General features: G+C 38.7%; 1 pseudogene across 1 annotated transcript in view; it reads left to right on the top strand.

The window, feature by feature from the left end:
- The window catches only part of REREP1Y (arginine-glutamic acid dipeptide repeats pseudogene 1 Y-linked), a 41502-nt pseudogene extending 34764 nt beyond the window's left edge, over nucleotides 1-6738 (top strand). Inside the window, exon 3 of the transcript XR_938667.3 lies at nucleotides 2149-6738. The product of XR_938667.3 is annotated as an arginine-glutamic acid dipeptide repeats pseudogene 1 Y-linked (transcript). The remainder of the gene's footprint in view (nucleotides 1-2148) is intronic.
- The last annotated feature ends 11876 nt before the right edge of the window (nucleotides 6739-18614 follow it).

Below are 18614 nucleotides of genomic sequence, written 5' to 3' on the forward strand. Positions count from 1 at the left end.
CACATTTTCTGAGCTTCCCAGCAATTTGTCTTCACTTGTGGCTGCCAGTCAGGGTAGGGCACTTGGGATTTTAAGTTTTAGTGTTTAACTACTATTGTGAGGTTGAATAATTCATTTTCTTCTAATTTACTTGGGTCAAGGGACTCTAAGAAACTATTGAAAAAATTTCGTTTAATTATATGTATTTCCATAAAATATATTTCTGAAAATGTTATTTACTAAAACTGTTAACTATACGTGAAATTGTTTTCAATGCAGAAAACTCTATTCTAATTTTAAAGGAGCTTAAGAAAGGTTGAGACAATCTGATATTTGCAGCCATCTACTATGCAAGAATATTGGTAAAGTCTTGTTCAAACTTAATTCTTTTCAATTGGAAATTTGTAATTTGTATGTATATATGGATGCTTGCATTAAGAACCAACTCAGTAGTCCAAGAAAAACCTATTAGAAGTACTAAAAAAACTTAGGGAAACAGATACTGTCAACATTTTCTCATTTGTATGTGAGAACAATGACTTGTTTTGAAAAAAAATGCCTTTTTAAAATGCATAAAATGTTTTAATAATTACTTGAACTATTTGCATGTTTAAGATAATGCCAAAGTGTTTGGAAATGCTTTACCAGGTGTTTTTGATTTAAAACCTTAATTTGAATGTAAGGATTTAGGTGGTTTGGGCAGTCATATTCCTAGTGGAAGAGATTATCCAGAAGTCCATTTTTATTTTGATGCTTCTGGCAAAAAATACTGAATATGCTGTACATTCAAGTGCACAATTGAATCTTTAATTTGGAGTTTGCAGTGTTGGTGATGACGGGGAGAAGGTGTGTGGTGAGAAGGTTGTGGCTACTGACACTCTGTCAGCTATACCATCACTGAGGCCATGAGAATCAGAGACTGACTGCACACAAATTTTAATGTAGATCCTAGGATGTACTCTAGATGGTCATCTTTAGTAAAAGAAAAGAAAATGATCACGATAAAACATTCTGAACATTAGCTTATTCTCCTGGTATTTGTTTTGTGTGTGTGTGTGTGTGTGTGTGTGTGTGTGTGTGTGTATGTGTAGGGAGCTTAAGAGACTTACAAAAATAGTGAATGAAATATATTAAAATCTTTGTTTACAGAAAGTTGTTAATTACTCTTGCTTTTCAAAGGGAATTATATGTAACAGGACACCCTAGTAATGATTTAATATTAAAAGGTTGCTCACCTGTAATTTTTAGACAACCGTAAGACAGGTTCTTATATAAGTATTGGGATTTTATGGATTTTTTTAGTTCATTTGAAACCACATGAAATTGGTTTAAAAAATGTTATGTGCTCTCTAAAATATTTGAAAAGGAACATACGCAAACTGTTATCTGAGGTATACTGTGCTAGCTTTCAGAAGTTGCTCTATAGTCTTTTTCTTCCTGGTTTTTAAATGTTTTCAAAGTTAATTTTAAAAAAGACGTGATACATACTAAACTAGTTTTGCCTATAAAAATAAGTAATGTCTTTCTGGAACTTTATGGTCTGTGCCTGTTCATTATACTCACCTTGTGGGCGTTTGGAGAAAATTACAACTCATGTGAATGTTGTCTTTTTCCCTCTGTTTTGGGGCCTTTGTCTATTTACTTTGCCTTCAGCTTTATGCAGTTAAACTTGAACTTTCAGAAAATGGCAGGGCCTTTCACCACCCAAATGCCCTATTTCCTTATTAAGTACATGTCTTATGTCTCTAGCTTCTGTCATTAGAAACTCTTCTGAAAGCTCAGTTTGTCCACTTGTGATTCATTTTACGGTTGTGTTTATCTGACATCATAGCATTTCTGTTTTTATTATAAGCATAGCATGTTGCTGTTAACTGTGCTTTGGCACTATCTCACATCTTAACTTGGTTATTTTGAGGGGCACACACCATACTGCTTTATGATAGGACCTGGATTAAAGTGTGGAGCCAGAAGGGTCATACGTTTGTTCACACTGAAATAAGGTAACAGCTTTGATTAATGCAAAAAGGTTAACTTAGTGGTAGAACAAATTATCTGAGGTTTCAGAGGTCATCTGCTAAAGAGTTTTTGCAGATACCGACTTGTGTGCTGCGTGCCCCAGGGCATGATGGGGCATTGGGCACGTTAACTTAAAACTGTTTTCTTTTTTAGGTCCACAACTCCCAAGCCTGTTGCAGATCTCCAACTCCTGCTTTGTGTGACCCCCGCAGCATGCTCTCTGCCGGTGGCATCACAGTCACCACAGCATCTTTCTGAAGCTAGGAGAGGGCCTGTAGGGGTAAGGAGAATCCCGTTTTTAAAAGCTATCAGTATTTTATATCCCATAGGGTATAAAATAGGAATATTATGTCCCTCCCCAGAGCCCCTTTTTAAAATGTGCTGTATTATATGTGTTTTTAAAGGAGTAACAAGTACATGCACAGAGGAAGCAAAATACGGGACTTGCCTTACCCCTCTAGGACAGTTCCAGAAGTTAGCGGGGTTTGGTGGAAGGGTATTTTGGCACCAGCAGAGAGCATGCTGGGCTGCTGCAAGGAGCAGGAGCTGGCAATCAACAGCGAGTTTGGATGTTGGCAACTGAAATGGGGAGAAAAGGGGGTAAGTTTGAGTTCAAGTGTGGAATGTGAATTTCCCCAGGCTCATTGGGACTCATGACCCACAAATCTAAACTATTTTGGGTGTTGTCCTCTCGGGTGACATTTTGTAGGGTGTTGCTCAGAAATAGCGAGGCTTTTCTCCAGTGCTAGATGCAGAATACGCACTTCAAGAGGCTTGGGTCGGGCTGTAGCTATACTTCTTAAGAGCTATCCCTTGGTTATTCCTCTGTTACTAGTGGTGGTCCTGAGGGATGTGTAAGAGGCAGCAGGATGAAGTATCTGTAGTGCTTTATCCCTTAAAGCACAGGAACCCATGTGGGTGATCATAGGGGTTATTATTGTGTAGTGCATCTCCCTTTTTAGGAAAGTTCACACTTGTCTTCCTTTTTTTTCCTGTAATCGTAGGACTTAATGGAGGACTTAATGGTAATGTTTTCTGAAAGTCGAGTATTTATTATTCCGAATGACTACTGGGTTAACATGAAAGAAGTGTAGTTTTAGTTAAGCATTGAAGTCAGTGTGAAGAAGTGACTGTGGCTCCCCAGTTCATACTGAATTAGCAAATAATACAAGAGGATAGCAAGCTCTCTCACACTTAGACACACACAATGCAGCATACTGTCAATATACAGTGAATTGTTCAGTTGCAGTGCAGAATATTAATATCTTGGGGTGAAGAAAAGAAAGTGCTCCAGATGGGATGTGGCACTTGGGGAAGTTCTGTGAAGGTGGGTAGGTTTTGAGGAGCTGGGTATGTTTTTCACACATCAATAAGAAGTGGATAGGCAGAGTATAGGAGCCTTGCAGGTGTACCTGGCAGCCTGTCCTTATAAGCAACACAGGCAGTGAGGCTGACGAGTCTGGGAGTTGTGAGAAGATGACCCGCAGGACGTCACTGAAGAGCATGGGTTAGTGGATTTTGGGAGGCAGATGTGGAGATATAAAATGGGGCTAGATTATAGAGAATCTTCAAAGTTAGCAAAGTTAAGATTTTGTGTAATAGGCAGTAGAGAGCTTGTGTAAGCTTTTTTATTCGAGATGAGCCATCTTGCAGACCACTGCTTAAGAAGACTGACTGTGGCAGTTTGCAGTGTGGAAGGGGGAAAGATGGTGAAAGCTCCAAGTAGGAGGCTAGGGCTGCCATTCGTGGGTAAGATGAAGAGGACCAAGACAGTAGAGATGATATATAGATAATTGTAACCAAATCAGGAGTAATTGTTGGAACAGCATAACACATTTACATATTTGCTGATGTAATTACTCAAGGGTCATATCATAAAAAGGGGTGGGGGTTTCACATTATGGAAACCTTGGAATTCTCTGTCTTACGGTGGAAGACAGAACCCAGTGTAGTGTAGACAAAAGTCTAATTTTAATTCCCAGAGAAAGACTGATATCTTATGGGACAAATTAGTATATTCCCATTCCTAATAATGGTGTACCTAGCTGGTGGGTAATTGCAGGCTTTCAACCTCCAGTTCATCTTCATGAGATCAATGTTGATTCAGAACAATAAGTGTCAGGTCTATGACACCTTTAAAGTTATGCTTAAATGTGAGTCTGTGACCACTAATGAATGACTACAGTTGTTTCATGACTTGCTAAACATACCTGGTTTTTCACAAGCAATAGATTTTTGAAGGAGAGGTATTCACAGTGGGTGCTAGGAAGATACACACATTAATTCTGTAGAATTTAGCTAAAATGTGTTCAGCCTAAGGGATGACATTAACAGAGACTTGTGATCCTGCTTTGCATCTCATGAGTGCTGAGCAGTTGGTAGAGATGGATGGTATTTTCCATATATCAGCATCTGCTGTATGCTCAGGCTTTGCTCCTGTTAAGGGAACTAGGGCTCTCTAGCCTTTTCAGAGATTCTGTGAGATTATGTACTTTATTATTATTATTTTGTCTAATCTAATCAGACTAGATTCTTGTATTTCGAACTAAGAACTCAGAATATATCCATGACCTTTGGTTAAAAAGCTTAAAGGGAAAGTAAACTTCATTTATTCGTTGAACAATTTATTTAGTATTTCTTATTTATTAGTGTTCTGTCTCCTGAATAAATAACTCATTTTAAGTGTTTATTGAGCACCAATTGCACATAAACTATTGTATTAGTTTTGTGGGAGAAAAAAATAAATAAACTAAATATCCCTCCCTCAAGGAATGTTTGTAAAGTTGATTAACTATGCTAGAAAATAGAAAGTGAATGGTGCTATGAGATACAGAGGTATAGTAGTAGTATGAAGGTTGAATGGAGAAAGAGATTAAATACAGCAGAAGACAATTATTTCTATCAGAGAAGAGATGACATAGGAGATGAAGAAGAAAGATTTAAAATGATTTTTACAGAAAGATGAAGAGATACATAACTCTTGAGTAGAGAAGGCAAGAAGAAGAGAAACTGTATGGACAGTATGAGCTAAATGTGAAAACAGAATTTTTTTTGGCTGGGTGCGGTGGCTCATGCCTGTAATCCTAGCACTTTGGGAGGCCGAGGCAGGTGGATCACCTGAGGTCAGGAGTTTGAGAAAAGCATGGCCAAAATGGGGAAACCCCATCTCTACTACAAATAGAAAAATTAGCCGGGTGTGGTGGCACATGCCTGTAATCCCAACTACTCGGGAGGCTGAGGCAGGAGAGTTGCTTGAACCTGGGAGGTGGAGGTTGTGGTGAGCCGAGATTGTACCAGTGCACTCCAGCCTGCACCATGGGATCGAAACTCCATTTAAAAAAAAAAATCTGTGCACAAAGAAATGGGCAATGCATTGACTCGGTGCAAAATATCATAGATGAGGTAGTGAACATGTTTAGGAATATATTCACATTTTCAAGAAGACAGCTAGTTTCCCTATTGAAATCCCTGGCATACAGGAGCAAACAGCATGAAATAAAGAAAAGTTCTATGTTTTTAGAAATAGGTATCCAACTAATACACATAAAAATTGTCTTTATGGAGTAAAATGCATATTTAATCAATCTAATCAAACACAACCTCAGCTAAATTCTTCTCTAAGATATAGACACACCTGCTAAGCAAAAGGGATAAGATATCTTGTCTCTAGGAAACAACAGAAGTTAATTAGCTTCAAAAATACTTTATATTTGCAATTAAAAATAATTTTAAATCCACAGTAGCTATGGTTCTCATTAGAACATAGAATATTGTGATGCCTTGGACTATTTTATTAAAAATGGCTATATTTGGTCCTTATCTCAAACTTTGTGTTCAGGTATATAGCTGATTAATAATGTAGTTTATTAAGAAATATTTTTTGCATATTACTGTGAAATCATAGTGTATGAAATGGACTAATAAAGCCTATAATGACCAGGAAAATATTACTTACTGCAAAGATAATATAAAGTTCAGTTCTTTTATCTATAGTTTTATTGTTAAGTTACATATATAGATAAATGATAGACAGACATCAACACACACATGACTGTTTACAAATTACGGAGGTTACAAATCTAAAACACGTGATTTTTATCTCAAAATAATAAAGATTAAAATGTTAGCAATGTTCATCCATTGGTCAAAACTTTGCATTCTTGTCTTGGATTCTTGCTTATATTCATCAATTTTAATCTGGATCTAAACACTTAAATAAATGAAAATAACATATTAAATAAATTTGTTTATGCACTGCACTTCATTTCTAACGATTTCTCATGAGATAGTGGAATGCATGATGACATATAATTTATGATATTGTTCTAGTGTTTCCATGCCCAAATTAAAGTCAATAAAATTTTATAATAGAAATACCCAAAATGAAGAATGATGATGAATTGAGCACTGATATTAAAAAGATTAAAAATGGTGCAACTTTTTATAAGCAAATTAGATCTATGTTTTAAGAACTTTATATGAAGTCTTACATGTATCTGCATTATACTCAGAGGTATAAATAAATCGTTAACTTCTTTATTATGTCTTCAAGTTACCTGATGTTCCTCCTGAGCATCTCGAACCTCAAGATAGGGAAAAATTGTATTCAATAAATCAAGTAAATACATAACAATGACTGTGTATTAACAAAAAATTAAAAATAAAAAAGAAATCAAGTTGTCTTAGTTCAATGCAATAACAAAAATAGTCACTTAAGCACAACACTCAAATGCTGAGTTTTCTCATTTCACTTCTTTCTTTTCTTATCCAAGATGGTATCTCATGTATGAGATGAACTTTACTAATAATACAGGCAAATGGGGAGATGTTGGTTGAGAGTGTATTGAATCTATAGGTAAATTTAGGAAAATTTTAAATCTTAAAAATATTGCTTTTAATCTGTGAACATGTTATATTTCTCCTATTATTAAATAATTTTTAATTTATCTCAATCATGTAGTTTTGGTAAAACATCTTGTAATTACATTTAAATCTATATATTACACAATTTGCATAAGAATATAAATTCCATATTTTTAGAAATTTATTTTTGAAATTTTCTTTACTGTTATAGAGAAATGAAATGGGGGATGACCTCCACTTTTCCCATTTTACTGTAAGTCTTTGAGTAAAGGAGTGACTCCTCAACCTTATTGTATCCACAACACTAAACAGGATATGTAAGCCAAATAAAATTTTGTTGAACAAAAGACATAACACTTTATGGGTCCACATATACATATGCATCCAGAAAACTCACTTCTGCATTTTGTGTCTGCTCCTTCTTGTGACTTTAAACAGTAAGTCCTCAGCAACAGCGTCTTCTCATCCTAAAATGGATATGATATGTCCCAAATGCATAATGCTAAATTATTTGATCATAAATTGGGAGTCTCCACTCTCAATCCTAAAGACAAGCATTATCTCCAATACCAAACACTTGAAAAAAGTGTAATGAGATTACATTTAGATATTATTCAGAAGCCAAAACCACAAATAAGGCAACAATTCTCAAAGTTTAATTTTCTCAAAAAGGTTCTTTTTAAAAAATTATTATTATACTTTAAGTTCTGGGGCACATGTGCAAAACATGCAGGTTTGTTACATAGGTATACACCTGTCATGATGGCTTGCTGCACCCATCATCCCATCATCTACATTAGGCATTTTTCCTAATGCTATCCCTCCCCTATACCCTGCCACCAACAGGCCCCAGTATGTAATGTTCCCCTCCCTGTATCCGTATGTTCTCATTGTTCAACTCCCACTTATGAGTGAGAACATGTGGTGTTTGGTTTTCTGTTCTTGTGTTATTTTGCTGAGAATGTTGGTTTCCAGCTTCATCCATGTCCCTGCAAAGGACATAAACTCATCATTTTTATGACTGCACAGTATTCCATGGTGTATATATGCCATATTTTCTTCATCCAGTCTAAAATTGATGGGCATTTTTGTTGGTTGCAAGTCTTTGCTATTGTGAACAGTGCCATAATAAAATACATGTGCATGTGTCTTTATAATAGAATGATTTATAATCCTTTGGGTATCTACCCAGTAATGGGATTGCTGGGTCAAATGGTATTTCTACTTCTACATCATTGAGGAATTGACACACTGTCTTCCACAATGGTTGAACTAATTTACACTCCTATCAACAGTGAAAAAGCATTCCTATTTCTCCACATCCTTTCCAGCATCTGTTGTTTCCTGACTTTTTAGTGATCACCATTCTAACTGGCATGAGATGGTATCTCATTGTGGTTTTGATTTGCATTACTCTAATGATCAGTGATGATTAGCTTTTCTTCCCATGATTGTTGGCTGCATAAGTGTCTTCTTTTGACTAGCGTCTGTTCATATCCTTCTCTCACTTTTTGATGAGTTTTTTTTTTTTCTCACAAATTTGTTTAAGTTTTTTGTAGATCCTGGGTATTAGTTCTTTGTCAGATGGATATATTGCAAAAATGTTCTCCCATTCTGCAGGTTGCCTGTTCAATCTGATGATAGTTGCTTTTGCTGTGCAGAAGATCTTTTATTTAATTAGATCTCATTTGTCAAATTTGTCTTTTGTTGCCATTGCTTTTGGTGATCTAGTAATAAAGTTTTTGCCCATGCCTGTGTCCTGAATGGTATTGCCTTGATTTTCTTCGGGGGTTTTTATGGTTTTAGGTCTTATGTTTAAGTCTAATCCATCTTGAGTTAATTTTTGTATAAGGTGTAAGGAAGGGGTTGTTACAATTTTCTGCATATGACTAGCCAGTTTTCCCACATTTATTAAATAGGGAATCCTCTCCACATTGATTTGTTTCATCAGGTTTGTCGAAGATCAGATATTTGTAGATATTAGATATTTGTGGTGTTATTTCCGAGGTCTCTGATCTGTTGCATTGGTATATATGTATATGTTTGGTACGAGTACCATGCTGTTTTGGTTACTGCAGCCTTGTAGTATAGTTTAAATTGAGTTACCATGATGCCTCCAGCTTTGTTCTTTTTGCTTAGGATTGTCATGGCTATGTGGGCTCTTTTTTGGTTCCATGGGAAATTTAAAGTAGTTTTTCTAATTCTGTGAAGAAAGCCAACAGTAGCTTGATGGGGATAGCTTTGAATCTATAAATTACTATGGCAGTATGGACATTTTGACAATATTGATTCTTCCTATCCATGAGCATGGAATGTTTTTCCATGTGTGTGTGTTCTCTCTTATTTCTTGGAGTGGTGGTTTGTAGTCCTTCTTGAAGAGGTCCTTCACATCCCTTGTAAGTTGTATTTGTAGGGATTTTCTTCTCTTGGTGGCAATTGTGAATGGGAGTTCACTCACCATTTGGCCCTCTATTATTTGGGTATAGGAATGTTTGTGATTTTTGCACATTGATTTTGTACTCTGAGAGTTTGTTGACGTTGCTTCTCAGCTTAAGGAGATTGTGGGCTTAGACGATGGGGTTTTCTAAATATGCAATCATGTTATCTGCAAACAGAGATAATTTGACTTCCTCTCTTACTGTTAGAATGCGCTTTATTTCTTTCCTCTGATTGCCCTCACCAGAACTTCCAATACTATGTTGAATAAGAGTGGTGAGAGGGGGCTTCCTTTTCTTTTGCAGGTTGTAAAATGGAATGCTTCCAGTATTTGCCTATTCAGTATGATATTGGCTGTGGGTTTGTGATAAATAGCTCTTACTATTTGGAGATACTTTCCATCAAGACCTAGTTTACTGAGAATTTTTAGCATGAAGACGTGTTGAGTCTATTGACATATTTATGTGGTTTTTGTCATTGCTTCTGTTGATTTGATGAATTATGTTTATTCATTTGCCTATATTGAACCAGCCTTGCATCCCAGGGATGAAGCTGACTTGATTGTGGTGGATAAGCTTTTTGATGTGCTGCTGGATTCGTTTTGTCAGTATTTTATTGAGAATTTTTGCATCGATATTCATCTGGGATATTGGCCTGAACTTTTCTTTTTTCTTGTGTCTCTGCCAGGTTTTGGTATCAGGGTGGTGCTGACCTCATGAAGTAAATTAGGGAGGAGTCCCTCTTTTTCTATTGTTTGGATTTTTTTTTTTTTTTTTTTTTTTTTTTTTTGAGATTGAGTTTCACTCTGTTGCCCAGTCTGGACTGCAGGGGCATGATTTTGGCTCACTACAACCACTGCCTCCCAGGTTCAAGTGATTCTCCTCCCTCAGCCTCCAGAGCAACTAGAAATCCAGGTTCATGCCACCACATTCAGCTAATTTTTGTATTTTTGGTAGAGATGGTTTTTTGCCACGTTGGCCACGAGGGGGCTGGAACTCCTTACCTCAGGTGATCCACACACCTTGACCTCCCAAATTTCTGAGATTACAGGCATAAGCCATCGCGCCAGGCCGGTACTCTTGTTTCAACTGAAAGAAAGAAATGTGCTGTCATACTTTACTCCTGTGAGAAAGTCCAACAGAGAAGGAATCTAATAACATCCCAATTTCCAACTGATTTCAATAAACATTTTACATAATCTAAGAAATAGAAAGTGCGAACAAATTTGTCATGAGCATTAAAGTGAGCCAGCCTCCCAGCTACTCAGGAGGCTGAGGCAGGAGAGTGGCATGAACCCGGGAGGTGGAGCTTGCAGTGAGCCCAGATTGTGCCAATACCCTCCAGCCTGGGTAACAGAGCGAGAATCCGTCTTAAAAAAAAAAAAAAAAAAAAAAAAAAGTGAGCTAGTTTCTATGTGCTAATTCAAATCAAAGATTTGGCCTCACTGGCCTAACTCCTTGGAATGAAGTATCTGCCAACTGTCAAAAGTCAGGCTACATGAGCTTCAGAGGCCTGCAGAGACCTCTGAATGACTTTGCCATGGAGAAGAGTCACACTCTCCAGGGCCTCCTCTCTGCTAAGAGCTGAACACTCAACTGGAAAGCCTGCCTACAGAGAGGAGCAAACCGTTCCTTTGAACTGTACTAACACTGAACAAAATGTTTCTTCTTGTTCAACATTCACTTCTCTGCTACCTCATTCTACCTCATTCTTCCTGACACTGGACAAGATCTTGGACAAAGGAGTCACAGCCACAGACGTTTCTGGCTAGAAAAAAAAAAACAACAACCAACACTCTAGAGATCGGTAACAATAAAACAGAATTTCTAGTTCTCAAATTAAAAAAAATGAAGTTAAGATAATAGATAATACATTCATTAGTTTACAAAAATAAAAACTAATAGTAGCATCCACTGTTGATGAAATTGTAGGTTCTAGAAGGAATGTGATTACTACAAGGTTTTCGGAAAGTAATTTGGTATTTAAATAGTTATAATTTTATTTAATATTACATAAATTTAGTATTTAAATAATTTCAATACATGGTACTTACAGCACTTGGCCCAGTTTTCACATTTTGTACCACTTATTAAATACAAATAAAATTACCAGGATTAAAAGATAAATATGCCATCATGTTTATTGTATCATTGTTATTAATACTAAAGATTTGGAATTATAGAATTTTTCTCAAAATTAGAAAGATTAAATGGTACATCCATTGAAACCTTGGTATAAATATAATATTGATTATTATGTAACTATTAATGCAAATAAGATTGATATATGTGTTCCTTTGGAAGAAAATCTAAAATATATATTTTAGCAAAAGCGAATTATACAATATGCATGTATTGTGTGTGTACATGGATGTATGTATAGCAGTTTCACTTTCATAAACATGAACATAATCTTTGCAAATGTTTTATATGCAAAATTAACTTCGTGAAAATTATTGCCAAACTGCTGTTGGTGCTTATATTTGAAATTGGAAGAAGAAAAGAAGTTTATTAATTTATTTTCCACACATCTACTTATTTTCAAATGTTACAATGATTAATTTTTTGTAAGAGCACTGAGAAACCAACAAGCACTTCTAGTTTTTAATTTTACAGTAAAAAGTAATTTCATTGGTATGCTTACAACAATATTGTGAGTATTAATATATGTTTTTACTTATAAAAAATTGAGTTTCATAAAGGTTAAATGACATATATAATGACACATATCAGAAAGTGCTAGTGCCACGACTCAAAAACTATTCTATTTGTGGTTCCAATTCATATACTTTCCAATTTATCTCATTATTTCTTGACTGTGTGTATGTAAATGTGTGTGTAAATGTTGAATTTTTCAGATGAATAAATTTGTGTAACAAATTGGATATAGATTAATTCAGTTCATGTTTTTTGATGTGCAGACCAAGGAATTGAGTAAAAGCCATATATCTCAGAGAATCACAAAGGTGAGAAAAATCGTACCAGTTTCACAACTTTTTTTTTTTTTTTTTTTTTTTTTTGTAGAGAAAACCTGGGACCAAGTAGGGATGATTTTTCAGCTTACTGTAGTAAAAAACAAGAGCTTTGCATTCAGGCAGTAGCAGCATCTGTTTCCAACTGAGTCTTTTACTAATAGTGGCATGCACTGCTAAATATCCAAACGCCACTATCAACCACTCAAGACAAAACACCAAAGATTTATCCTCAATTTCTTCCTTCCTTAAAACTTTACATCAAATCCATAATTAAGTCTGCTAAACTTAGTTTCAGAATATTCCCAGTCAGACTATATTCTGCTCTCAATATCCACTGTAAATCCAAGCCACCATTATATTTTGCTTCATCTACTGCAATAGCTTCCCTAAAATTAACACTTTCTTACTTTTGCCTTCTTATATTTATTCTCTGTAATATTCCCTTTTAAAAATATATATCTTATATTAAGTCATTCTTCTTAAGGGATGTTTGTGGAGGATATGTCGCAGAAAGAAACTACTCGCTTTACCAGCATCCAAGATGAGGCTCATGTCCAGTGCTCTAGCCTCATATCTCAGGCCCACCCCTTATTCCAGAGTAAATAGTATTTTATTCAAGTTGCCCATATTTTCAAGTTCTGTCTTGGTTCAGAGCTTTCTCCCTTTGCTTTTTCCCATACTGTTTTCTGTTAGTCTTCTCAGAGCTGACACTTTCTTCTTTTCAGGTCTTAGATTACGCTTTATTTTCTCACAGCTCTGGACATCAGAATTGTGAAATGGGTTCAGCAAACTATAATCAAAGTGTAGGCATGGCTGCATTTCTTCTAGAGTCTCTACGAGAGAGTCCATTCCCTTTTTTTTTTTTCTAGCATCTAGAAGTCATACTGCCCACCACATTCTTGAACACTGACCTTATTGCCTTCTCCAAGTCTTACTAAAAACATCTACTTTTGAAATTTCTCAGATATTGAATTATCTCTGCTGATACAGCCTTTTTATCTTTTCTTTTAAGTCCTTGAACACAATTTTAAGAAATGTTTTAAGGCCCTTGTGTGTGAATTCCAACATTTGGGTCATGCAAGAGTCTGATTTCTTATTTATCTCTCCTATGTCAATATGCTCCTGTTTCTTTATACATGTAATAACATTTTTCTGTGAACTGCAGTTGCATGTTTAGATAAGGGATTTGTTTTCTTTCTCTGAAGAAGGTTGGCATTTGCTCTATCAGAAATTGTTGGCTAGTGATATTGATGTTGTAGAACCTTTGTCTTATTCTTTACTGGGATGAGACTGTTTGGATTTTATCCTTATTCTCATTGTGAACTCTTTATTCTTAGCATCCAGATTTTCTTCCTAAAGTGTATCCTTTCTGCAATTTCAATAGGAAGCCAAAGGTTTTTGTCTACTCTCTCTATCTTAGTAGGACTCAAACTCCACTACCCTGACTAGAACTACCAGTAGTTTGAGTTTTCTAACAGGTGTTGCCTCTCACAAGAGGGCATTAGCTGTGGGCGTCTGCCTGCAGACCCTGGCCCAAACAACAGATGAATAAAATGTACACTGACACACAGGTATTCTGTTTTGCTAGTCCTGCTGTGTCTGACTGCCTGCACACCAAGACAGGTTTGTCACTGCAGCAGACCCTGAGCAGCTAGCACTCCAGGCATTTATTTAGTATACAATTACCAACAGAAGCTTTGAGTAATTACACTTGAGGATAATGAACTTGGTTAAGACAGTAGTTCTATGAATGATTAAAGCTCAGGTACTGTAGTCTAAGTGAATACCATTAGGGGACAATATCCTTGGTCCACCTCCCCCTGAGAGGGCCATTTGGTACAAAGGTTAGTTAATGGAGGTAGGATAAACAGACTTAACTGGGGAAGCCTCAATTGTCCCTTGTATTTACTCTATGACATAATGTTCCAAGGTAAGAACTAGCTGCCTTCAATCTGTTCAATTATTACAAGCTGGGTAACCTTTTGGCCTTACGAAAGGTTTGTGACTATTCCCTAGAACTTCCCCTAATATTTCCCTTTACTATTTCTGCCACCATCCTGAGTGAATCCCAACATTTCCCCATTTTTGTTTTCTTTATTAGGGTTTTTTGATTGCAGAGCACAGATATGTGCAGCCACAGGATTTTCAGATGAGGCAGTCACTGCTCTTATTTAGACTTTGCATCCTAGGATTAGCAAATAACATAAGACAAACATGAGCATAATTAGCAAAAATCTTTTCCAGTCAAAGAGTATCCCCCAGGAGTTAGGGTCCAAGTAGGAGAGATGATCTTGTACTCCCTTCCACATGGCTGTTGGGTGTGCAGATCTGTGGTGTGAACAGATTTTAAAATTTTAGTTTTAACTTGCTTCATGTCTGCAGTTAAACTGTTATAAAAGGTTCCCCAGAGGTGTTGTTTCACCTCACCCTAGCTATACATTAATTGGTTCCATGGTAGAGAAGTGACACAGGTATGTTTATGTTGCCATTCACATTTTCACTGTTGACAGAATGCTAGTGCATCTTGTGGCTCTCCCGCATACTCTTTCCTTACTGTAGGAGAAGTTCATCACATATATTTTTGGCCAGATTATCTACAAAAGCAGTTGTTTGTACTGATTCAGTAATAGATACAACAGCAATGCTAACAGTTGCCATAATGACTATGGCTGAGCCTGTAAAGACCATAAGTGTAAATGTGAATCTTTTGTGTCTGACCTGGGACAGGGCACTTTCTAAGGTGGCAAGGGCAGAAGAATCTTGCCAATTGCATGTCAAATTGGCTGGTAGAAGTGCCTCAGATTGTCTCCTTAATACCACGACACTGGAAGTTTTTAAACTAGACATATCATGACCAGTGATACATGAGGCAAACCAAGCCTGTCCCTGCACCCGGGTCACAAATGTGGCATTTCCAGGTGTAATGGAAATGTTAGTTCCTGTAAGGAAAACATATGGATGGGTAGTGCAAACCAGGCACTGATCAGTGTGAGTATGAATAAAGGCTATAGTGTAGTTGAGCCTGGAATTATGATATCTCCCATAGCAGGTGTTAAGAGAGGTGCTAAGATGTCCCAGGTGCCATAAGGTGCCTTGGGTTGGTATGGGGTTTACTCAGGGTCTGGGGATATCCCATCCCTCCATCGGCCCAAATTACAGGGGAACGAGACATGGCTATAAAATATTGTGGTTAATGCTACGATGCAGAAAGACATTTGTAAGCGTGCCCTGCAGTTGGCCATGGAGACTCCACTCTAAGATGTTTTAATTGCCCAACCAGAGACTATGAGACTTCCCAGCTAAAGTGAAATCCATTATTTTCTTGGCTCTGTTCTTTAGTACGGAAAGGAATATTTGGGAAAGCAGCATGGATTGCATTGCCCAGTTTGAGGTTATCTGTAGCTAAAACTGTTAAGGCACTTTTTTTGCCATGATGTACCCATACTTGTCTTGGAGCAGTTACACAGTAAGGGTTAGAGCCTTTATAACTTAGAAGCGGTGAGAGGATAGTGTAGTGCTATATAGTGTTATCTGGCACCTTAGGGAAATGTGTGTTATTATTGAGGGACCCTACTTGGTGTAAATCTATCCGTCCTAGCCAAGCAGTCATGTTGTTACAGAGTGGGAAGGGAGTTATCTGCCCAGGTGACAGGGTGAAAGAAAAGTGGGCCATTTTAGGCTCATATTTAGGGCTCATATTTTAATGAGCCCAATAGAGTGTAGCAGGTACAGTTTGCAGGCAAAGCGAGAGTATAAAAATGATCAATACCCTATGTGAGTCGCATTGTACAATAGATAGCATAGAAAGAAACAAAATAACTGGAGTAAATGGTGCCTGTGTCTGGAGCAGGATTTGTTCAGCCTCCTCTGGAACTGTGGGTCTTACTGGGTTAACTCTTTCAATTCCGGTACTAGATTGGACCCTAGCCATGCCATGTTATGGTTTGATGCCTCGTGCTGGAATCCAAAGAGGACTTGAGGGGGTGTAAACACAAGCCTACCCTCTCCCCCATGTTAATAATTCATTAAGACCACACTGTGTCCAGAATTGGTGGGTTCTTGGTCTCACTGACTTCAAGAATGAAGCCACGGACCCTCGCGGTGAGTGTTGCAGCTCTTAAGGTGGCGCGTCTGGAGTCTGTCCCTTCTGATGTTCAGATGTGTTCGGAGTTTCTTCCTTCTGGTGGGTTCGTGATCTTGCTGGATCAGGCGTGAAGCTGCAGACCTTCACGGTGAGTGTTACAGCTCTTAAGGTAGCGCGTCTGGAGTTGTTGGTTCCTCCCGGTGGGCTCGTGGTCTTGCCAGGCTCAGGAGTGAAGCTGTAGATCTTCGCAGTGAGTGTTACAGCTCATAAAAGCAGCGTGGACACAAAGAGTGAGCAGTAACAAGATTTATTGCAAAGAGCGAAAGAACAAAGCTTCCACAGTGTGGAAGGGGACCCGAGCAGGTTGCCAATGCTGGCTCCGGAGGCAGCCTGCTTTTATTCTCTTATCTGGCCCCACCCACATCCTGCTGATTGGTAGAGCCGAGTGGCCTGTTTTGTCAGGGTGCTGATTGGTGCCTTTACAATCCCTGAGCTAGATACAAAGGTTCTCCACGTCCCCATCAGATTAGTTAGATACAGAGTTTTGTCACACAGGTTCTCCAAGGCCCCACCAGAGCAGCTAGATACAGAGTGTTGACTGGTGCACTCACAAACCTTGAGCTAAACACAGGGTGCTGACTGGTGTATTTACAATCCTAGAGCTAGATACAGAGTGCCGATTGGTGTATTTACAATCCCTGAGCTAGACATAAAGGTTCTCCACGTCCTCACCAGAGCAGCTAGATACAGAGTGTTGATTGGTGCACTCACAAACCTTGAGCTAAACACAGGGTGCTGATTGGTGTATTTACAATCCCTGAGCTAGATATAAAGGCTCTCCATGTCCCCACCAGACTCAGGAGCCCAGCTGGCTTCACCTAGTGGATCCCACACCGGGGCTGCAGGTGGAGCTGCCTGCCAGTCCTGCGCCGTGCGCTCACATTCCTCAGCCCTTGGGTGGTCGATGGGACTGGGTGCCGTGGAGCAGGGGGTGGTGCTCATCGGGGAGGCTCGGGCCGCACAGGAGCCCATGGAGTGGGTGGGAGGCTCAGGCATGGCGGGCTGCAGGTCCCGAGCCCTGCCCCATGGGAAGGCAGGTAAGGCCCGGCGAGAAATCAAGCGCAGTGCCGGTGAGCCAGCCCGGCTGGGGCACTCAGTACACCCTCCGCAGCCACTGGCTCGGGTGCTAAGTCCCCCATTGCCTGGGGCCAGCAGGGCTGGCCGGCTGCTCCGAGTGTGGGGCCCACCAAGCCCACGCCCACCCGGAACTCCAGCTGGCTCACAAGCACGGCACACAGCCCCGGTTCCCGCTCGTGCGTCTCCCTCCACACCTCCCTGCAAGCTGAGGTAGTGGGCTCCGGCCTTGGCCAGCCTGGAAAGGGACTCCCACAGTGAAGTGGGGGACTGAAGGGCTCCTCAAATGCCACCAAAGTGGGAGCCCAGGCAGGGGAGGTGCCGAGAGCAAGCGAGGGCTCTGAGGACTGCCAGCACGCTCTCACCTCTCAACACCATTCATTACTGTTTACATCTTTCCATAAAACTGCAGGTTTTATGCCTTGAGAGGTTTTAGCAAAGTGCTTTTCTACAACTGATTGAAATTTGTCATCTGAATTTAAAACATTAAGGGTAAATAAGGCCTGTGCCAGTAGTGTTGCAGCGTGCTTACTTATATTACCCTGTCTCTGTTATTAGTGCACATTTTTAAGGGTGAAGTGTCTGTGTTCTACTATTGCCTATCCTTGGGGGTTATATGGGATGCCTGTGGAATGTTGGAGTTTCCACCTGTGACAAAATTGTTGAAATCGTGAGCTGGTATAAGCTGGACCATTAAAAGTGTTCATTTTTGTGGGTCATCCCATAAATGCAAAAGTTAAAAGAAGATGTTTAATGACATATTGAGTAGGCTCTCCAGGCAAAGCATGTGCACTGATTAAATGACTGTTGGTATCAATGGATATATGCACATATCTTAGTTTCCCAAATTCAGGGATGTCTGTAACATCTGTTTGCCACAACTGATTAGGTTCGAATCCTGTAGGGTTCACACCTGTAGAAGGAGGGGGCGTGCCTGTGCGCTGGAAATCTGGGCATTGTAGGATAATTTGTTTAGCTAGCCTCTGGGTAAGTTGAAAATGGTTTAGATAAATTTCTCCAATTTTGGTGGAAAAATTGATGTGATTGGGTGGCTTGGTCTAGCAGTGATGTCATAACCTGAAGGTCTGCTTGTTCGTTGCCATAAGCCAATGGGCCAGGGAGTGGGCT

This window comes from Homo sapiens, chromosome Y, assembly GCF_000001405.40.
Source record: "Homo sapiens chromosome Y, GRCh38.p14 Primary Assembly".
Classification (NCBI taxonomy): Eukaryota; Metazoa; Chordata; class Mammalia; order Primates; family Hominidae; genus Homo; species Homo sapiens.